At 52.3% G+C, this 18,595-nt stretch overlaps 1 protein-coding gene and 1 long non-coding RNA gene across 21 annotated transcripts in view; one reads left to right on the forward strand and one right to left on the reverse strand.

Annotated features, from left to right (window-relative positions):
* DNAI2 (dynein axonemal intermediate chain 2) overlaps positions 1–8,470 on the forward strand; it is a 40,651-nt gene extending 32,181 nt beyond the window's left edge. For 8 of the 17 annotated variants that reach the window (XR_007065388.1, XR_007065396.1, XR_007065389.1 and 5 more), the window contains 6 exons: positions 2,839–2,974; positions 3,603–3,749; positions 5,589–5,816; positions 6,415–6,546; positions 7,707–7,857; positions 8,175–8,470. Coding sequence is in view for 4 of the 17 variants with exons in the window: in NM_001353167.2 (NP_001340096.1) it covers positions 2,839–2,974; positions 3,603–3,749; positions 5,589–5,816; positions 6,415–6,546; positions 7,707–7,802 (739 nt within the window). In the remaining 13 variants the exon portion in view is untranslated. Of the gene's footprint in view, positions 1–2,838; positions 2,975–3,602; positions 3,750–5,588; positions 5,817–6,414; positions 7,127–7,706; positions 7,858–8,174 lie in introns of those variants that run through there. The other 9 variants (XR_007065398.1, NR_148379.2, XR_007065397.1 and 6 more) reach the window with 7 other exon arrangements.
* Positions 3,843–10,848, reverse strand: LOC105371891 (uncharacterized). Of its 4 annotated transcripts, none has more exons than XR_934971.3 (4): positions 10,696–10,848; positions 6,241–6,363; positions 5,284–5,771; positions 3,843–3,993 (listed from the first exon to the last, which is right to left on the reverse strand). It is a non-coding gene; the product is annotated as an uncharacterized LOC105371891 (long non-coding RNA). The 4 variants fall into 4 exon arrangements; XR_934970.3 differs by lacking the exon at positions 10,696–10,848 and adding an exon at positions 10,390–10,549; XR_007065896.1 differs by lacking the exon at positions 10,696–10,848 and having other exon boundaries at positions 5,516–5,771; positions 6,241–6,454.
* Positions 10,849–18,595: the final 7,747 nt, after the last annotated feature.

An 18,595-nucleotide genomic window follows, 5' to 3' on the forward strand; every position in this document is an offset into this window, starting at 1 on the left:
GCACTGCCATGTGTATTGTGCATTGCATGTATAAATAATTACTTTTTTCTCTTGCTAAAAAAAACATCCTGGGGTTCCTTTCCTGCCCACAGAACCACAGACTCCTGCAACGTCAAAGCCACCAGCAACCCTAATGAGCATCTTTGGTTCCAGTGCTTCCCAAATCTGGTTGCATCAGAATATCTTGGGAGGAGTTTTTGTTTGTTTGTTAAAATGCTTTTGAGATGGAGTCTTACTCTGTCACCCAGGCTGAAGTGCAATGGCGAGATCTCGGCTCACTGCAACCTCCACCTCCCGAGTTCATGCGATTCTCCTGCCTTATCCTCCTGAGTAGCTGGGATTACAGGCGCACGCCAGCACACCCAGCTAATTTTTGTATTTTTAGTATAGACAGAGTTTCCCCATGTTGGCCAGGCTGGTCTCAAACTCCTGACCTCAGGTGATTCGCCTGCCTCAGCCTCCCGAAGGGCTGGGATTACAGGCATGAGCCACCGTGCCTGGTGGAGGAGTGATTTTTTTAAAATCCAGATTCTCAGCCCCAACCCTGGGGGTACTAACATAGAATCTTGGGCTTAGCCCAGGAATGGGTTTGCTAAGGAGCAACCCCAGGCTTGTGACTCAGCCAGTCCTTGCTTTGGGAGCAGAAACCTGGTTCGATGTCCTCATTCTACAGGGGTGGGAACGCTGGCTGACAAGGGCAGTGCATTGTTCCAGGCCTCATAGCAAGTAGGGGGTTCCCAGTAGATGTGAAGCCCTTTACAGGCTTTAGGAGCCTTCCCAATGTCTTCAGGTCCTGCAGGCTGCCAGGGCTGTGTGAAAGGAGCAGGGTGTCGAGCACAGCACCCATAGGCCTTTCGCAGGGCTGGTTCCTAGAGGGACTTGGTGGACCTGTGTCGTAGAACCTGGGTCTCCCTTGTCCTCCTCCTGCATAAGGTTAAACAAATTTAGCAAATAAGAATATTTGACCCTGGGCCAGGTGCAGTGGGCTAATGCCTGTAATCCCAGCACTTTGGGAGGCTGAGGCGGGAGGATCACTTGAGGTCAGGAGTTCAAGACGAGCCTGGCCAATATGGTGAATCCCCATCTCTAATAAAAATACAAAAAATCAGCTGGGCTTGGTGGCTAACGCCTGTAATCCCAGCACTTTGGGAGGCCGAGGCGGGTGGATCACCTGAGATCAGGAGTTCAAGACCAGCCGAGATTGCGCCACTGCACTCCAGCCTGGGCGACAGAGTGAGACTCCGTCTCAAAAAAAAATAATATTTGGCACTTAGTTAAATCTGAATTTTAAAAAAAAAAACTATTTTTTTTTTAGTATAAGTATGTCCCATGCAATATTTGGTATATACTTATACTAAAAATTATTCATTGTCCAAAAATCTCCAGATGTTTCTTTTTTTGGGGGGATGAAGTCTCTTTGTTGCCCAGGCTGGAGTGCAGTGGCACGATCTTGGCTCACTACAACCTTCACCTCCTGGGTTCAAGCAATTCTTCTGCCTCAGCCTCCTGAGTAGCTGGGATTACAGGCGCCCACCAACACCCCTGGATAATTTTTTTATTTTTAGTAGAGGCAGGGTTCTGCCATGTTGGCCAGGCTGATCTCAAACTCCTGACCTCAGGTGATCCACCATTCTCGGCCTCCCAAAGTCCTGGGATGACAGGCATGAGCCACCGCGCCCGGCCCAGATCCTTTCTTTAGTCTTGATCATTTCTCCCACTGTGGTCTGGCTGTCAACACACTAGGTTTGCAAAGGTGACTGGGAAGTGTAGTCTGCCTTGCTCACCAGGGGCCCAGCTACAACTATATTGCAATGGAGGAAGGGAGAGGAGGTCTGGGTGAAAATCTGAAGGCTGCACTGTGTGTGTGTCCCTTTTAAAAAAATGTTCCGTCTTCACTGAAGAAACTCTTGAAAACCCAGATGAAACCAAGTAGGAAGTGACACTCTCCTTATCTCAGCGGTAGCAGCTTTTCTGGGCATGTCCTTCCTCTGACTCCCATCCGTGAGTCCCAGGGCTGGGACCAGGTCCAGCAACACGTGCCTGCTGCCTGGAGTTAGCAGCAGAGAAATGCCAGTGGCCAGCCCACGGGAAGGACTGTGCCCAGAGCCCTTTCTTTATTTTATTTGAGACAGGGTCTCACTACGTTGCCCAGGCTGGAGTACAGTGGCACAAACATGGCTCACTGCAGCCTCGACCTCCTGGGCTCAAGCGATCCTCCCATCTCAGCCTCCCGAGGAGCTGGGACCACAGGTGCTCACCACCACACCCGGCTAATTTTTTTATTTTTTGTAGAAACAGGGTCTTTCCATGTTGTCCAGGCTGGTCTCAAAATCCTGGCTTCAAGCGATCTTCCTGCCTTGGCCTCCCAAAGTGCTGGGATTACAGGCACATGACCAGCCCAGAGCCCTTTAAAGAACAGCCTGTCAGACACCTGAGGTCAAGAGTTTGAGAGCAGCCTGGCCAACATGGTGAAACCCCATCTCTAGCAAAAATAAAATATTAGCTGGGTGTGGTGACGGGCGCCAGTAATCCCAGTTACTCGGGAGGCTGAGACAGGAGAATTGCTTGAACCCAGGAGGCAGAGATTGCAGTGAGCCGACATCGTACCACTGCACTCCAGCCTGGGCAACAGAGCAAGAGTGTCTCAAAAAAAAAAAAAAAAAAAGCAACCTGTGAGCTGTGGATGAGTGAGGTCAGCACAGCTAGAAGTCAGACACAAGGAAGAACTTCCTACCTAGCAAGACTCTGAGATCCTGGAGCCCAGAAGGGACCAAGTGAGCCAAGCTGTGGCTCAGAAGCCTCTGTCCCTCCAACCATGATGTGGTCTACCTCCCACAGGTACCACATGGCTTACCTCACTGATGCTGCCTGGAGCCCCGTGAGGCCGACCGTTTTCTTTACCACCAGGATGGACGGAACCCTGGATATCTGGGACTTCATGTTCGAGCAGTGCGATCCCACCCTCAGCTTGAAGGTCACGCGCATGTCCCTCCTTGTGCATCCAGGTCCTCAGGGAGCCAGGTCCCGGCGTGGGTGTGAGTGTGGGGTGCTGTGAGCACGTGTGCAGTGTGTGGCCAGGTGTGTTTGGGCCTCTGTGGGGGAGCCGTGTGCAGGCTGACTGCAGCGATTGCTTTTGAGCGTGTGCTCCTACAAAGGTTAAGGGGCCTGGGGGATTTGGCATCCTGGTAGCACAACAGAACCACCTGGGGGAAATTTAAAAAGAAACAAAAGCAGGTACCCGGCATCTCCTACCCACAGGCCGATTCCTTCAGAGCCCCTGGGGTTTGGCTGCTGGACCTTCCCCTTCATGTCAGGGTGGCCAGAGCTGAGCCCCACTGGCTGGGGCCACGGAAGGGTGGGGGCATTGGGGAACCACAGGGTGACTGTGAGGCGGAACTGAAGGGGTGGGGCGGGAGATGAGGCAGGGAAGCCAGGAGCCTTGACAACCAGTCTCCGAGTTTGAACTTCATCCTGTGGGCAGAGGCGTCCTGAGGATGTTTGAATAGGGCCAAGTGGCTGAGCCTCCCCAGGGGCCAGTTAATCAGACACACATAACTTTGCTCCTCTCTCCTCTACCTGGGTCTGCCCGGCCCCTTCAATAGGTGTGTGACGAGGCCCTCTTCTGCCTCCGGGTGCAGGACAATGGGTGTCTCATCGCCTGCGGCTCCCAGCTGGGGACAACCACCCTGCTGGAGGTCTCGCCTGGGCTCTCTACCCTCCAGAGGAATGAGAAGAACGTAGCCTCTTCCGTAAGCACCGGGTGCCTGGGGAAAATCCCTCCAGCACGTCCCGACCTGGCCCCACAGCAGAGCAGGCTAGTCAGACAAATAGATGGCCCCGCCCTCCCACCCCCAGAACATAGGTGCACATTTTGGGGGAAGCAGTGTGGGCTCCATAAATAGGTGTTGGTGTGTCCATTTGCCTTTGCTCAACTGCTGGGTAGCTAAGTGGCCTTCAGTAAGTCACGTCACTCTCCAGGATTCAGTTTTTTACCTGTAAATCAAAGAGGTTCGACTTGGTCAGTTTGTCTAGTTTCAAATAACACTTTTTTTTTTTTGTGGAAACTTTCCAATGAAGGCTTAGTATTGTATTATATTATATTGTATTTTAATTTAATTATTTTTATTTATTTATTTATTTTTGAGACAAAGTCACGCTCTGTTGCCCAGGCTGGAGTGCAATGGTGAGATCTAGGCTCACTGCAATCTCTGCTTCCCAGGTTCAAGTGATTCTCCTGCCTCAGCCTCCTGAGTACCTGGGATTACAAGTGCATACCACCACGCCCAGCTAATTTTTGTATTTTTAATAGAGACAGGATCTCACCATACTGGCCAGGCTGGTCTTGAACTCTTGACCTTAAGATGATCTGCCCACCCTGGCCTCCGAAAGTGCTGGGATTATAGGCGTGAGCCACCGTGCCCAGCCTAATTATTTTATTTATTTTTATTTTATCAGTTTATTTTATTTTACTTCATTTTGAGACAGGGTCTTGCTTTGTTGCCCAGGCTGGAGTGCAGTGGCACAATCATGGCCCACTGCAGCCTCTACCTCCCAGGCTGAATCGGTCCTCCCACCTCAGCCTCCTGAGTTGCTGGGACCACAGGCATGCACCACCATGCCTGGCTCATTTTTTAATTTTTGTAGAGACAGGGTCTCCTTATGTTGCCCAGGCTGGTCTGAAACTCCAGGGCTCAAGCAATCCTTCCACCTCAGCCTCCCAAACTGCTGGGATTATAGGCATGAGCCACCACGCCCAGCCTGAAGACTTAGTAGAATGCTAATAGGGAAGCCAGATAGAAGGGGACTTGAAGAGGGGGACTGAGATCCATTCCTACATCCTTTCCCCAGTGGACAGCCCTGCAGGCAACCCCCCAGAACCATGGGGAACACTGTGGAACTGAAAACCCCTAGTGCTAGGGCCGGGTGTGGTGGCTCACGCCTGTAATCCCAGCACTTTGGGAGGCCGAGGCGGGCAGATCACCTGAGGTCGGGAGTTCGAGACCAGCCTGACCAACATGAAGAAACCTCGTCTCTACTAAAAATAGAAAATTAGCCAGGCATGGCGTCACATGCCTGTAATCCCAGCTCCTTGAGAGGCTGAGGCAGGAGAATTGCTTGAACGTGGGAAGCAGAGGTTGTGGTGAGCCGAGATCGTGCCATTGCATTCCAGCCTGGGCAACAAGAGTGAAACTCTGTCTCAAAAACAAAACAAAACAAAAAAGGAAAACCCCTAGTGCTGAGGCCTGGAGAGCCTCCTGGCTCTGCCTGAGACTGGGATCTCACCATTGAGCTGGTCCTTGTTGGGCCAAAGCCGCCATATTTCATAGCTCCAAAGGGCGCTCTTCTGCCTGTGGTTCTGGAACTCCATGCTCCTTGGCATTGAGTAACTCAGTGTCCCTGCTGCAGCCTTCCAACCCCAATATTCAGCCCTCCTTCCTTGACACCAGCCCTGGGTACAGACCTCTACAGTACAGGGACTGTATGGAGAGCAAGGAGAGCTCAGCAGAAGCCCCACCTGGCCCCAGCACTGGAGTCGCTTGCCATCCTGCCCTCTCCCCACCGGGCTCTCTCTGTCCCTGGGTGCCCAGATGTTTGAGCGTGAGACCCGGCGAGAGAAGATCCTGGAGGCCAGGCACCGGGAGATGCGGCTGAAGGAGAAGGGTAAGGCGGAGGGCAGGGATGAGGAGCAGACCGATGAGGAGCTGGCCGTAGACCTGGAGGCGCTGGTCAGCAAGGCCGAGGAGGAGTTCTTCGACATCATCTTCGCAGAGCTGAAGAAGAAGGAGGCAGACGCCATAAAGCTGACGCCAGTGCCTGTAGGGGCCTGGACAGGGGTTGGGTGGGTTGGGGACTGGGCGGGACACATGGCACTTGGGTTCTGCTTCTGCTTGCCGACTTCCTGGGTGACCTTGAGCAAGTAGTCTTACCTGCTAGATCTTAATTTATTCACCTGGCAAGTGGGAAGAATTATTCCCTTCCTTCCAAAGCATCCCAAGTCTCCAAACAGACTTCAGGCTCCTTACAGGCAGGAACCATACTCCATGCCTCCTGGTATCCTCCCCTCCCCCCAGAGAGGGCACATGGTGAAAATGCGTGTTGAGTGACTGAACGAGGGAACATGTGTGTTGAGTGACTGAACGAGGGTCCTAGAGGTAAGTGAGCTGTCAGAGAGGAATGGGCCTTGAGACCCCTGGAGGGAAGGGCTGGGACATTAGCGGTGTGCACGTCATGCTGGCTTACCCAGGTTTGGTGTCAGGAGTGTGACCTGTGGTCAGCTCATCTGCCCATGGCCCCAGCTCTAAAGCACTTTCTAGCTGTATCACCTGAGCTGGTCGCTTCACTTCTGGCTTCCTTCATTTCCATCTGGAAAATGAGGAGATGTTGCTATAAAGATGGTGTCTGGTCATCTTCCAGGCCCTCTTTTGTACCAGCGGAGAGAGGAAGAAAAGACATTGCCTGTCTGGGTCACCTCCTTCAGGCCCCACAGATAAGATGCCAAGATATGAAAGAGCCAAAGAGCAGCGTGGAAGGGAAAAGAAACAGCGGGTATATGCCAGGATTTACCCTTGTAGGCAAGACTGGCTGCAGACTTGGGGATTGCAGGCACTGCAAAATGAAAATGTGAGGGCCCTCGTTTAAAAAGTATTAATAATTTTAAAACAGTGACAATAGAGCGTTAAACCAAGCGTGGGCCCTGCTGAGACAGGGTCCAGTGTATCTGCACAGAGCACCCACCCATGACGCCTGCTTGAAGAAGAGCTGTATGGCAAGTTCTTGGTCCCTGATAGAGTGGACAGAGCGAAGGATGGTGCATGAGCACACAGGGAAGATAACTGGTTCCATCTTGTGATTTCTTCCCTCTTCTGCCTCCCTCCCCCTGGGTCTAAAGCTGTGATTTCCACAGGTGCATTTTGCATTTGGGGGTACTTGGTTATGAGATGTTTTCTTCTCACACTGGGTAATACAGGTGGGGCAGAGAGCTCCCTCCACTTCTGGTGGAGGCAAAACTAGAATCCTGGATTCTGACGCCTAATCCAGGGCTCCTCCCACTCACCACTCCTGGCCTATCCAGCCCTGCAGAAGGCAAAGATGACACTGGCCACCTTTTACAACGCAATGGTGGCTGGTAGGCACCATGCTTTGTGACATATGTCCCAAAACGTGCTCCTCACCATGGCTTGAACATTCTACATGAAGAAGTTGAGCCTTGGAAGGGGTTCAGGTTCACAGAACTTGGCCCCTTCCTCCTCCTGCCTGCCACACACTTCCTGTCTCTCTCTTAGTCTGCAATTGGCCCAAAACGCTGGTGGTCACAAAGTACCGCGTGGTACTGAAGCTGTTTTACATAGGCTGGGTCCTTATGCCCACTATTTCTAATCCTGGCCACAGCCCTGCAAGGTGTCCTGTCCTCTCTATGGGTGAGGGGGCCAAGGAGACTCAGGAGGAGCTAGCCCGAGGCCTCCCAGTCTGCATGTGGCAGAAGCCAGGCGTGAACCCAAGTCTGCCAGATTCCCCCAGCTCTGCCCACTTTCCGCACTGTCTGGGCCCTCACCAGCCGCAGAGCTGGCACCCGGGTTCCAGGGTGCTCAGCGACCCAGGCTTCAGCCATTTGGCTGCTTTGGTCCTCGTGGGGTTCACATCCCAGGGGAGTGGGGAAGGCCTGTCCCCTACCAACACCAACACTTCTGTGCTGTCTTCCCCTGCAGCAGCAACCAAGTCCAGAAGAAGACCAGGTGGTGGAGGAGGGAGAGGAAGCAGCGGGGGAAGAAGGGGATGAAGAAGTGGAAGAAGACTTAGCCTAGAAGTCAGCCTTCGACTGCGGCGCTATCCCTGTGTGCCTTCCTTTCCCACCTCTTGGTATTGCCCCGCTCTCACAAGTGGGAGGCTGAGCTCCGCCTTAAAGCAGCACTGGGTGGTGGGCTGGGAGCATCGGGCCCTGACTCCCCAGCCCCTACAAATCACTAGCCCCCACTGACTCACTGGGCACTGAGTCCTGAGCCACCCCTTGGAGAGAGGGAAGGGGCGGGGCTTGTCCCGGAGCTGGCTGCCCCATTGTCTCAGCCACCCTGAGCCCACCCCAAGGCCGAGGCCACCTTAGTCCTAGTCCTGGATGTCTCCTGGGATTCAGCTTCTCACAGGCTCCCCAGCAATCATTTTCGTTTGTAACCTTGCAGACCCTCAACCAGACTTGCATGGCCATGGCAGGGCCTCGGGAAGACCTTCAGGAGTGGGGAAGGGTTTCTCCTCCATGATCGACCCTCCTCGTCCACCTACAAATCAGGAACAGAAAGTCTGTCCACTTTGAAAATACCTTTCCAGGCAGCTCCCTGACCATTTGGACACATTGCCACGACAGGAGCCTCCAAGTATGTGGGAGGGGACGGGCGGGACGAGCTTGGCTGTTCTGCTGCACCTGAATGCTTTCTGTTATCCTAATTCTTGTAAAATTAAATGAATCGTAACAATGCCACGAGTTAGTACGTGTGATGCATCCTGCACCCAGAGCCTGTCACGTTATCTCGTGTAACTCATTCACGACATCCCTGGAACTGTGTGCTCCCATCACCTTTATACTACACAGGAGGTTCCAGGAGCGGTACAGGGACGTGCCCAAGTCTCAGAACTCGTGACGGGGCACAGCGGGGACGGGAGCCCAGGCAGCTCATTCCTGACCCTGCACGGTCATCAACTGTGGGCCAGGTGCTGTGCAGGCCTCTCGGGGACTCCAGGGTGGGAAGTGGGCTGCCCTGGGGGTGCCCTGAAACCGCAGCTCAACAGAGCAGTCAGTGACCATTACCAGAGACATTGGGAGGTCGAGAGGGCACTTCAGTGCCAACCTTGCACAAGGAACAATGCCCTGACCATCATCATCCTGTGGATGGCAGGTGACCTTGGCAGGGACCCAAAGTGCCCTTGAAAAATGCCCTTGAAAAATGTGTTGGTCAGGTTTCGTGGCTCACGCCTGTAATCTGAGCACTTTGGGAGGCCAAGACAGGAGGATCACTTGAGCCCAGGAGTCAAGGAGGATCACCTGAGACCAGCTTGGACAGCATAGTGAGACCCCCATCTCTAATTTAGAAAAAGAAAGAAAAATGGCCATGTTAAGAATCTCCTTGGCTGGGTGCAGTGGCTCACACCTGTAATCCCAGTACTTTGGGAGGCCAAGGTGGGAGGATCACTTAAGCCCAGGAGTTCGAGACCAGTGTGGGCAACATGGGGAAACCCCATCTCTATAAAAAATACAAAAATTAGCCTGGTGTGGTGGCGCACCACTGTAATTCCAGCTACTCAGGAGGCTGAGGTGGGAAGATGACTTGAGCCCAGGAGCTCGAGACTACGGTGAGCCACAATCGCACCACTGCCCTCCAGCCTGGGCAACGGAGCAAGGCCCTGTCTTGAAAACAAAATAAAATGGCCAGGCGCGGTGGCTCACGCCTGTAATCCCAGCACTTTGGGAGGCTGAGGCGGGTATATCACCTGAGGTCAGGAGTTCAAGACTAGCCTGGCCAAAATGGTGAAACCCTGTCTCTACTAAAAATACAAAAAACTTAGCCAGGTTTAATGGCACATGCCTGTAGCCCCAGCTACTCGGGAGGCTGAGGCAGGAGGATCACTTGAACCTGGGAGGCAGAGGCTGCAGTGAGCCGAGATCATGCCATTGCACTCCAGCCTGGGCGATAAGAGTGAAACTCCATCTCAAAAATAAATAAATAAAATAAAATAATCTCCTTGAGGAGGGACCCAGGGCCAGCTGCCCCCCGTACTCAAAGAGAAAAATGGAGCTGTCGACTGTGGTTAACCTTGATAAAAACAATAATTCAGGTTATGCTGAGTGCTTGATCTTCACAAGTGCCCCAGGAGTGATCTCACATTTCAATCCCCACGTTATGGATGTAGCAGGCGAGAGAGAGAGAGGGAGTAACTTGCTGAGTCCAGTGGGAGTGGGTAGCAGAGCTGAGACTTCAGCCCAGAGTCACAGCCCTACAGCTTACGCCATGCACACTGCACTCCCAGGACCCGGGTAAGAGGAGTGGGCTGGGCCATTCCAGCATCAGACGGAGGGGGCCACGAGGGAGCAGCAGGCCCCTCGCTGAGCAGGGACACACACAGCCTCAGTGCCGTCCTCAGGAACGCCCTGCCTAGAGCAGCGATTCTCTACTGGGGAAGATTTTGCCCCCAACAGGACATCTGTCAATGTCTGGGGACAACCGGTGAGGAGAGTGCTTCTGGCATTGAGTGGGTAGAGACAGGGACCCTGCTCAGCATCCTGCACACAGGACAGCCCCCTACATTTTGGACAGTGGAGTCATGCTAGAGAGGCCCAATTTAGAGAAAAATCTACCCAAATGGAGCATCCCAAGAGAAAGTACAGGCTCTGCACACACTAACCTGAGCACACCGAAGGCCCCTGTGAGAGGCTGGCACCATGAGCTCGAAGGCAGGAGGACCTTCTTTCACTGAACTGGAATTTTGACCTTTGGCTTGTGCCTGCAAAAGGAGGCTGCCTGATGGAATCAGCAGGTCCCTTGTGGGTGCAGAGAACGCCACTGGGCAGGGACAGCATTTGAAGAGGCATTTGAGGAGTGGCCGTGGAAGAGGAAAGGAGAGCCCCACAGACGGCACCCGGCAAAGGGCAGCACGAGCTCAGCGGGTGCGGTGCCAATGCTGCCAACCCGTACGATGACCTTCACTGACCTCTCACGCTGGCCTCACCAGGAATCTGTTGTTTAGTCCCTTCCTAAGAGGAGGCAAACCAAACCACGAGGCATCACTGGGGCGCCAGAGGTGCCTGGAAAAACCCACCCCGTGGGTGTGGACTGTGCACTGGGACCACGCTGGAGCCGGTTTGGGAAGTGCGGAAGCAGCGGCCGGACTCAAGTGTCCACAGCACAGTGACGTCCTTCCTGTCCGTGCCACCCGGAAAAGGGGGTGCTTCCTTGGCCTCTTTTGCTCAGCTGACTTAATGAATGCACCGCTTAACCAAAGATGCTTCCACTGTGACCACAACAGCCCAGTGGCTCTTGGGAGAATCACTGTCCCCTTTCCCCACCGTGTGGCTGCTGGGGACTGTAGGCCCCAAGGCAGGACTCTGAGGAGGGACCCCCTGCCCTTTATAAGTAACAAAATTAAGTGTTTCCCGGGTCCCAGAGGCCCCTGAGATGTTACTGATGCCCAAGTAGGAGGCAAAGGTGACTGCTGGCCTGACGCAGTGGCTCACACATATAATCTCAGCACTTTGGAAGGCCAAGGCAGGAGGATCACTTGAGCCTAGGAGTTCAAGACCAGCCTGGGCAAACTAAGGAGACCTCATCTTTATTATGTATATGTATGTATGTATATATATATATATAATTTTTTTTTTTTTTGCAACGGAGTTTCCCTCTTGTTGTCCAGGCTGGAGTGCAATGGCATGATCTCAGCTCACTGCAACCTCTGCCTCCCAGGTTCAAGTGATTCTCCTGCCTCAGCCTCTCAAGTAGCTGGGACTACAGATGCCAGCCACCACGCCTGGCTAATTTTGTATTATTAGTAGAGACGGGGTTTCACCATGTTGGCCAGGCTGGTCTCAAACTCCTGACCTCAAGTGATCCACCCGCCTAGGCCTCCCAAAGTGCTGGGATTACAGGCATGAGCCGTCGTGCTCGGCCTATTAAAAACTTTTTTAAGTGACTACTGATGGCCTACCAGGGTCAGCATCCAGAGACCCCCCAGCCAGCCTCTCTGTGTGCTGACGTCCTGGGGACGCCTGCAGCACTGGTGGGAAGTGTAGATAGAGGCAGTGTTTTCACGGCATTTCCAGGCAGGGAAGTCTGAACCCAGCTCAGGCGCTTGCCATCCGGGTAACGTTGCCTACACTCAGCCCTGTGCCAGGCACTTGCCATGAGTGGAGAATAAACCAGATGCAGGCCCCGCCTCCCAGAGCCGGTACACCAGTGGGAGGCAGGGAAAGCTGATAGATAGGCAGATACCTACAGAACGACAGTTGTGCAAAGTGCATGTTAAGGAAGAGTACAGGGTGCCGTGAGAGGGATAACAGGAAGAACTAACCTAGACTCTAGAGAAGAAGGAGCTGGCCAGGAGGCCTCCATGAGAAAGGGACAATGCAGCTGAGACCTTAAGAACAAGCATGAGCAGAGATGTGTGTACACGTGCGAGTGCATCTGTGTGCATGTGTGATGACGTGCGCATCTGTGTGGAGGGGCACCCCAGGCAGGGCAGCTGCACACACAATTCCGGAAGGAGGAAAGAAGCCGGTGCTGCTCTGTTAGACCAACAGGGAGTCATCAGTGTGACCGGAGTGAGTAAGGGCTAGAGCCTGGAACCAGCCAGCGACAGCAAGAGTCTGCTGGGGCAGGTCTTGATGTCAAGGATTTTGACCTTGCTCCAAAGATCACTGAGAAGCACGGGTGCGGCTTGATGAAGCCTTTGCTGGTGGAGGGAGGCCTGGAGGGAGGCACCTGGGGGTCGGTTGGGAGCACATTGTGGTGTCAGGCAAAAGAGATGGCAGCTTGGAGTGGGGCGATGGCCACGAAATTACTTACCTCTCTGCACCTCTGCTATCTACCTTCAGGAATTGTTTGGGTGAGTAAATGAAATAACACACTAGCCACTGGGTTCAAAATAAGTGCTCAATAAACGCCTATCACCTCCCTCACTTAGAAGCATCTGACGACCACCTGGGACAGGCCTCATGGCTGGTGGCAAGTTCTAGGTTAGTACAAGGAGCTACTAGAATGACTTGTGAATTTGTTTCTTGGGGTCCTTTCAGCATCTGCACCCCAAATTTGGAAGAGGATGCTGGGGCTTAAGAGAAAAGTCCTCAATCCATGCTTTGTTTTCCCAATAACTCTCTTCCATTTCCCCTCCCAAGTCGTACCTCCAGGAGCCAAGCCTGGGAGTAGCCATGCCCAGAACACAAGGAGGTGGGACTTTGCCCAGGTTGCCCTAGAGCTCTAGAGGGCCAACGGGCTTTAGAAAGGGCTTATCAAAACCAGTGGCTTCCAACTACAGGTGGGTTTGGGGGGAAATGGAGAATGTCATATATCTCTGATTGAAAAAATCAGGCCGGGCACGGTGGCTGACACCTGTAATCCTAACACTTTGGGAAGCCGAGGTGGGCGGATCACCTGAGGTCAGGAGTTCGAGACCAACCTGGCCAAAATGGTGAAACCCTGTCTGTACTAAAAATACAAAAATTAGTTGGCCGTGATGGCACATGCCTTTAATCCCAGATACTCGGGAGGCTGAGGCAGGTGAATTGCTTGAACCCAGGAGGCAGAGGTTGCAGTGAGCCGAGATCGCACCATTGTTCTCCAGCCTGGATGACAGAGCAAGACTCCGTCTCAAAAAAAAAAAAAAAAATCATTGCTACTTGGAGATGGTCACCGATGCCATCTACACTTGCTTTGGCAGCAACAGCCTTCTTATTAAGCAAGAGAAGTTTTGCCCATTGGAGGGCTCACTTCAGGCAACTCAATGAAGATTTCAATGAGCTCACAAAAGCCTGAGCCCAGGTAGGTTTTTAGTAACCTTTAATGTATGCGGTTTGACCATGAACAGGAGTTCCTCAGCATCCCTGAGTCTTAGGACCCTCATAGGTAAACAAAAGATTCTAGTGAAGATTAACCATGACAACACAGATTCAGCACCTAAAGTGGCTACCAGCAGATTGCAGGTGCATACTAAACCTTAGTTTCCTGGGCTGAGGTGAAGCTGAAGCGGTAAGTCCCCCTTTCTTTCTTTCTTTCTCTCTCTCTTTCTCTCTCTCTCTCTCTTTCTCTCTCTCTCTCTCTTTCTCTCTTTCTTCTTTTTTTTTTTTTTTGACACAGTCACGCTCTGTTGCCCAGGCTGGAGTGCAGTGGCACGATCATAATTCACTTGCAGCCTCAACCTCCTGAACTCAAGTGATCCTCCCACCTCAGCCTCCTGAGTAGCTGGGACTAGCGGTGTGCACCATCATGCCTGACTTCCTTATTTATTTATTTATTTATAGAGACAGCAGGGTGGTGGGAACAGGGGCGGTCTCCCTATGGTGCCCAGGCTAGTCTCGAACTCTGAGCTCAAGAGATCTTTCTGCCTCGGCCTCCCAAAGTGTTGGGATTATAAGCATGAGCCATCACATCTGGCCTAAATCCCTTTTCTGATGAGATGTCGGCTGTTTCCAAGGATCTTAAATGTCTGCACGTGGGTCTAAATCAAATGCTCCTGCTGTGTGTGGGCAGGTTTGCTCAAGTAGATTTTCTCACTCATTCATTGACTAAACTCTCACTAGATACTGTACTGGAAATATGAAGTTAAGAGCCAGCTTGGCCGGAGGCAGGTGGCTCACGTCTATAATCCCAGCACTTTGGGAGGCCGAGGCAGGCAGATCACTTGAGGCCAGGAGTTTGAGACCAGCCTGGCCAACACAGTGAAACCCTGTCCCTACTAAAAATAGAAAGAATTAGCTGGGCATGGTGGCGCATGCCTGTAATCCCGGCTACTCGGGAGGCTGGGACATGAGAATCACTTGAATCCAGGAGGCAGAGGTGGTGGTGAGCTGGGACAGTACCACTGCACTCCAGCCTGGGCGACAGAGCCAGCCCCTCAGCTCAGACAAACGGACAGATGGTTCTGATCTCCAGTTGTGAGTGCTGTTACAGAGAAGTATATAGAAAAAAGGACCTGGGCCGAGCGCCGTGGCTCATGCCTGTAATACCAACACTTTGGGAGGCTGAGGCGGGTGGATCTCTTGAAGCCAGGAGTTTGAGACCAGCCTGGCCAACATGACGAAACCCCATCTCTATTAAAAATACAAAAATTAGCCAGCGTGGTGGCGCCTTCCCGTAATCCCAGCTCCTCAAGTGGCAGAGGCATAATAAGAATTGCTTGAACCTGGGAGGCAGAGGTTACAATGAGCTGAGATCACGCCACTGCACTCCGGCCTGAGTGACAAAGCAAGACAGAGGAGAGAGAGAGGGGCAGAGAGAGAGAGACCGATCTAATCCAGTGGGATGCAGGCTGGCACCCCTGTATTTGTCAGGACTCTTGGTCACATGTTTAAGAAACCCATTCTAGCTAAAGCCAAGAAAGAATATTTGTTGGCTCAAGAAACTTGGAAGACCAAGGCTAACAGCTTCAGGTGTTGCTGGATCTAGCAACTCAGATGTTGTCATTTGGTATCTCTCTGCACAGCTTCTTTCTTTGCCTCAGTTTTATGAACTTCTGCTTTAGTGAAGCTGCTTTCATTGGATAAGGGGAGGGATTAGATATGACCCCACCCCCCGATTTTAGTCATTTCAGCCAGTAATCCCAAAGGCAGGAGAGAGCTCCTCCCTCCCAGTATAACAAAATTCCAGGGAAAGGCTCTGATTGGCCTAATGTGGGTCATAGCCCATCCCCTTGGACCAATCACTGTGACCACAGTCAAGTCTGGGTTGCATGCCTTCTGCCATGGCTGGGAGTGGAACAGGATGCTGTGATGGGCTCCATCAGAATGACATGGACTAGAGAAGAGGCAGTTCCCCCAAGGAAAGGGGAGGTGACACATAAGATGAGCTTGGAAGAAGGAGTTAGCCAGATAGATAAGTGGAAATGGAACTCCAGGACAGAGTGGCAGGAACAAAGCCCAGAGAGGAGAGAAGAGCTGCTCACGCAGAGGACTGCACTTGGTTGAGCACGGCCAGAGCAAGGGTGGTAGAAGGGGACGAGCCAAGAAGAGGCAGGGAAGGCTGCAACTACAGGCTAAAGAGCCGACCCCAAACAGAAGGCAATGGGGCACCATGGCAGGATTTCAAGTAAGGTCACGACACCCATCTGTCCTAGAGCAGTGAGGGAATGGAGTCAAACTGGAGGCAAAGAGACCACGCAGTGTACGTGGTCATCCAGATGAGAAACTGAAGTCCCAGGCTGCAGGCAGCAGTGATGGGAGTGGAGAGGAGGGACAGAAACGGGTTCCAGGGCAGGACCAGGATGCAGAGCGCATGGACTGAGCATACATCAAGTGCCTGGGTCTCTGCCCGTGCAGGGCTTACTTTGATTCAGGCTCTGTCAGGGCATAATGAGAGTTCTGTGGACCAGGAGAGGAGGGGTCTGATATGGAGGATGACGAGAAATTTGACAGAGGTAAGCTGGAAAGGGTGTACCAGGTTGGAGGACTGGCATGAGCAAAGGCCCCAGTGTAGGACCTGGCTCTAGCATACATTTGGGAATAAGCAAGTGGTGAAGGTGAGTGGAAGGCCGAGCCCACAGAGCAGAATGAGTTTAAATGAAGCCGGGCAGGAGGCTGAAAGGGGTTGTGGAGAGTAAAGTGTCTGCCTTTACTTCTGTGTTAGAGAACACAGGAGGTCTCTGCCTGTCAGATCGCTCCCCTTTCAAAGATCTCTGCCTGACAGATCTCTTCCCCTTTCAAAAGTGGGGCTGGGGCCAGGCACGGTGGCTCACACCTGTAATCCCAGCACTTTGGGAGGCCAAGGCAGGTGGATCACCTGAGGTCCGGAGTTCGAGACCAACCTGGCCAACATGGTGAAACCTCGTCTCTACTAAAAATACAAAAATTAGTCAGGCGTGATGGTGGGTGCTTGTAATCCCAGCTACTTGGGAGGCTGAGGCAGGAGAATCGCTTGAATCCGGAAGGCGGAGATTACAGTGAACCAAGATTGCGCCATTGCACTCCAGCCTGAGCGACAGAGCTAGACTTCATCTCAAAAAACAAACAAATAACAACAACAAAAACGGTGGGGCCAGGGCATAGCAAGAGGCCATGACATGGTCCAGGTGAGAAGGGGTAAAAACTGGAGCCCAGGGAATGGCAAGAGACGATGAAGAGAAGAAATATTTGCAGAAGTAGAATCTGCAGGAGTTGAATGTAGAAGATGAGAAAAAAAGATGCGGTAAAAAATGCCTTAAAGGCAATGGGTATAAAGGGGATGGTGGGCCGGGCGCGGTGGCTCACACCTAGAATCCCAGCACTTTGGGAGGCTGAGGCGGGTGGACCATGAGGTCAGGAGATCGAGACCATTCTGGCTAACACGGTGAAACCCCGTCTCTACCAAAAATACAAAAAATTAGCCGGGCGTGGTGGCGGGCGCCTGTAGTCCCAGCTACTCGGGAGGCTGAGGCAGGAGAATGGCGTGAACCCGCGAGGCGGAGCTTGCAGTGAGCCAAGATCGCACCACTGCACTCCAGCCTGGGCGAAAGAGCAAGACTCCGTCTCAAAATAAATAAATAAATAAAATAAAATAAAGGGGATGGTGGTTTAATTGACAAAACCCAAAAGTCAGGCAGAGGACATTGTTTGAGAATATACCTGACTTTGTGATGAGTCTTCGTGTAAGATGGGTGGGGACTTGTTACTTAGGAGCTTCTTATTTATTTATGTATTTATTTATTTATTCTTGAGATGGAGTCTCACTCTGACGCCCAGACTGGAGTGCAATGGCACGATCTCAGCTCACTGCAACCTCTGTCACCTGGGCTCAAGCAATTCTCCTGCCTCGGCCTCCCGAGTAGGTGGGATTACAGGTGCCTGCCACCATGCCTGGCTAATTTTTGTATTTTTAGTAGAGACGGGGTTTCACCATTTGGACAGGCTGGTCTTGAACTCCTGACCTCAACTGATCTGCCCGCCTTTGCCTCCCAAACTGCTGGGATTACAGGCATGAGCCACTGCGCCCAGCCAAGAAGCTTCTTATTTTTACCCATCAATCGCTATAGGCCCAGCGCAGTGGCTCACATTTGTAATCCCAGCACTTTGGGAGTCTGAGGCAGGAGGATTGCTTGAGCTCAGGAGTTTGAGACCCTGCCTCTACAACAATTAAAAAAAAAAAATGAGCCAGGCGTGATGGCATGCGCCTGTTGTCCCAGCTACTCCCAAGGCTGAGTTAGGAGAATCGCTTGAGCCCAGGAGGTTGAGGCTACAGTGAGCTGTGATGGCACCACTGCACTCTAGCCTGGGCCACAGAGTGAGACCCTGTCTTGAGGGGTGGGGAGGCAGAAGAAAAAAAAAGAGAAAGAGAGAAAGACCTTGTCTCAAAAATACAAAAACAAAAACAAAAAACACCCCACAAAAACAAAAATAACTATGGGGCATTCTGGGTGGGACTGATGCATGTGGAGGAACAGAAAAGAAAAAGAAAAATAGTGACAGCCCAGTTGACCAGGGGCCTGTTTGATTGATCCAAATAGGTTCTTTTCAGGAGCCTAAAATGCAAGCACAACACACCCCTAAAACTTACCCGATTCTCTTTCGAGAGGCTGAGGTGGGAGGATTGCTTGAGTCCAGGAGTTCAAAACCAGCCTGGACAGCACAGTGAGATCCCTGTCTCTACAAAATACAAAATGTTAGCCAGGCGTGGTGGTGCGCACCTGTAGTCTCAACTACTTGTGAGGCTGAGGCAGGAGGATCACTTGAGCCTGAGGGATTGAGGCTGCAGTGAGCCATCCATGATCGTGCCATTGTGCTTCTGCACTCCGGCCTGGGTGACAGAGTGAAACTCTGTCATAAAAAAACAGAAACAAAAACAAAAAACCCGACCCGATTCTTGTCACAGTATGCCCATTTGCAAACTGTCCAGCCTACAGCCTAGGCCAAGGAACAGGACAAAACCTGGGATCC

This window comes from Homo sapiens, chromosome 17, assembly GCF_000001405.40.
Source record: "Homo sapiens chromosome 17, GRCh38.p14 Primary Assembly".
In the NCBI taxonomy this organism is placed as follows: domain Eukaryota; kingdom Metazoa; phylum Chordata; class Mammalia; order Primates; family Hominidae; genus Homo; species Homo sapiens.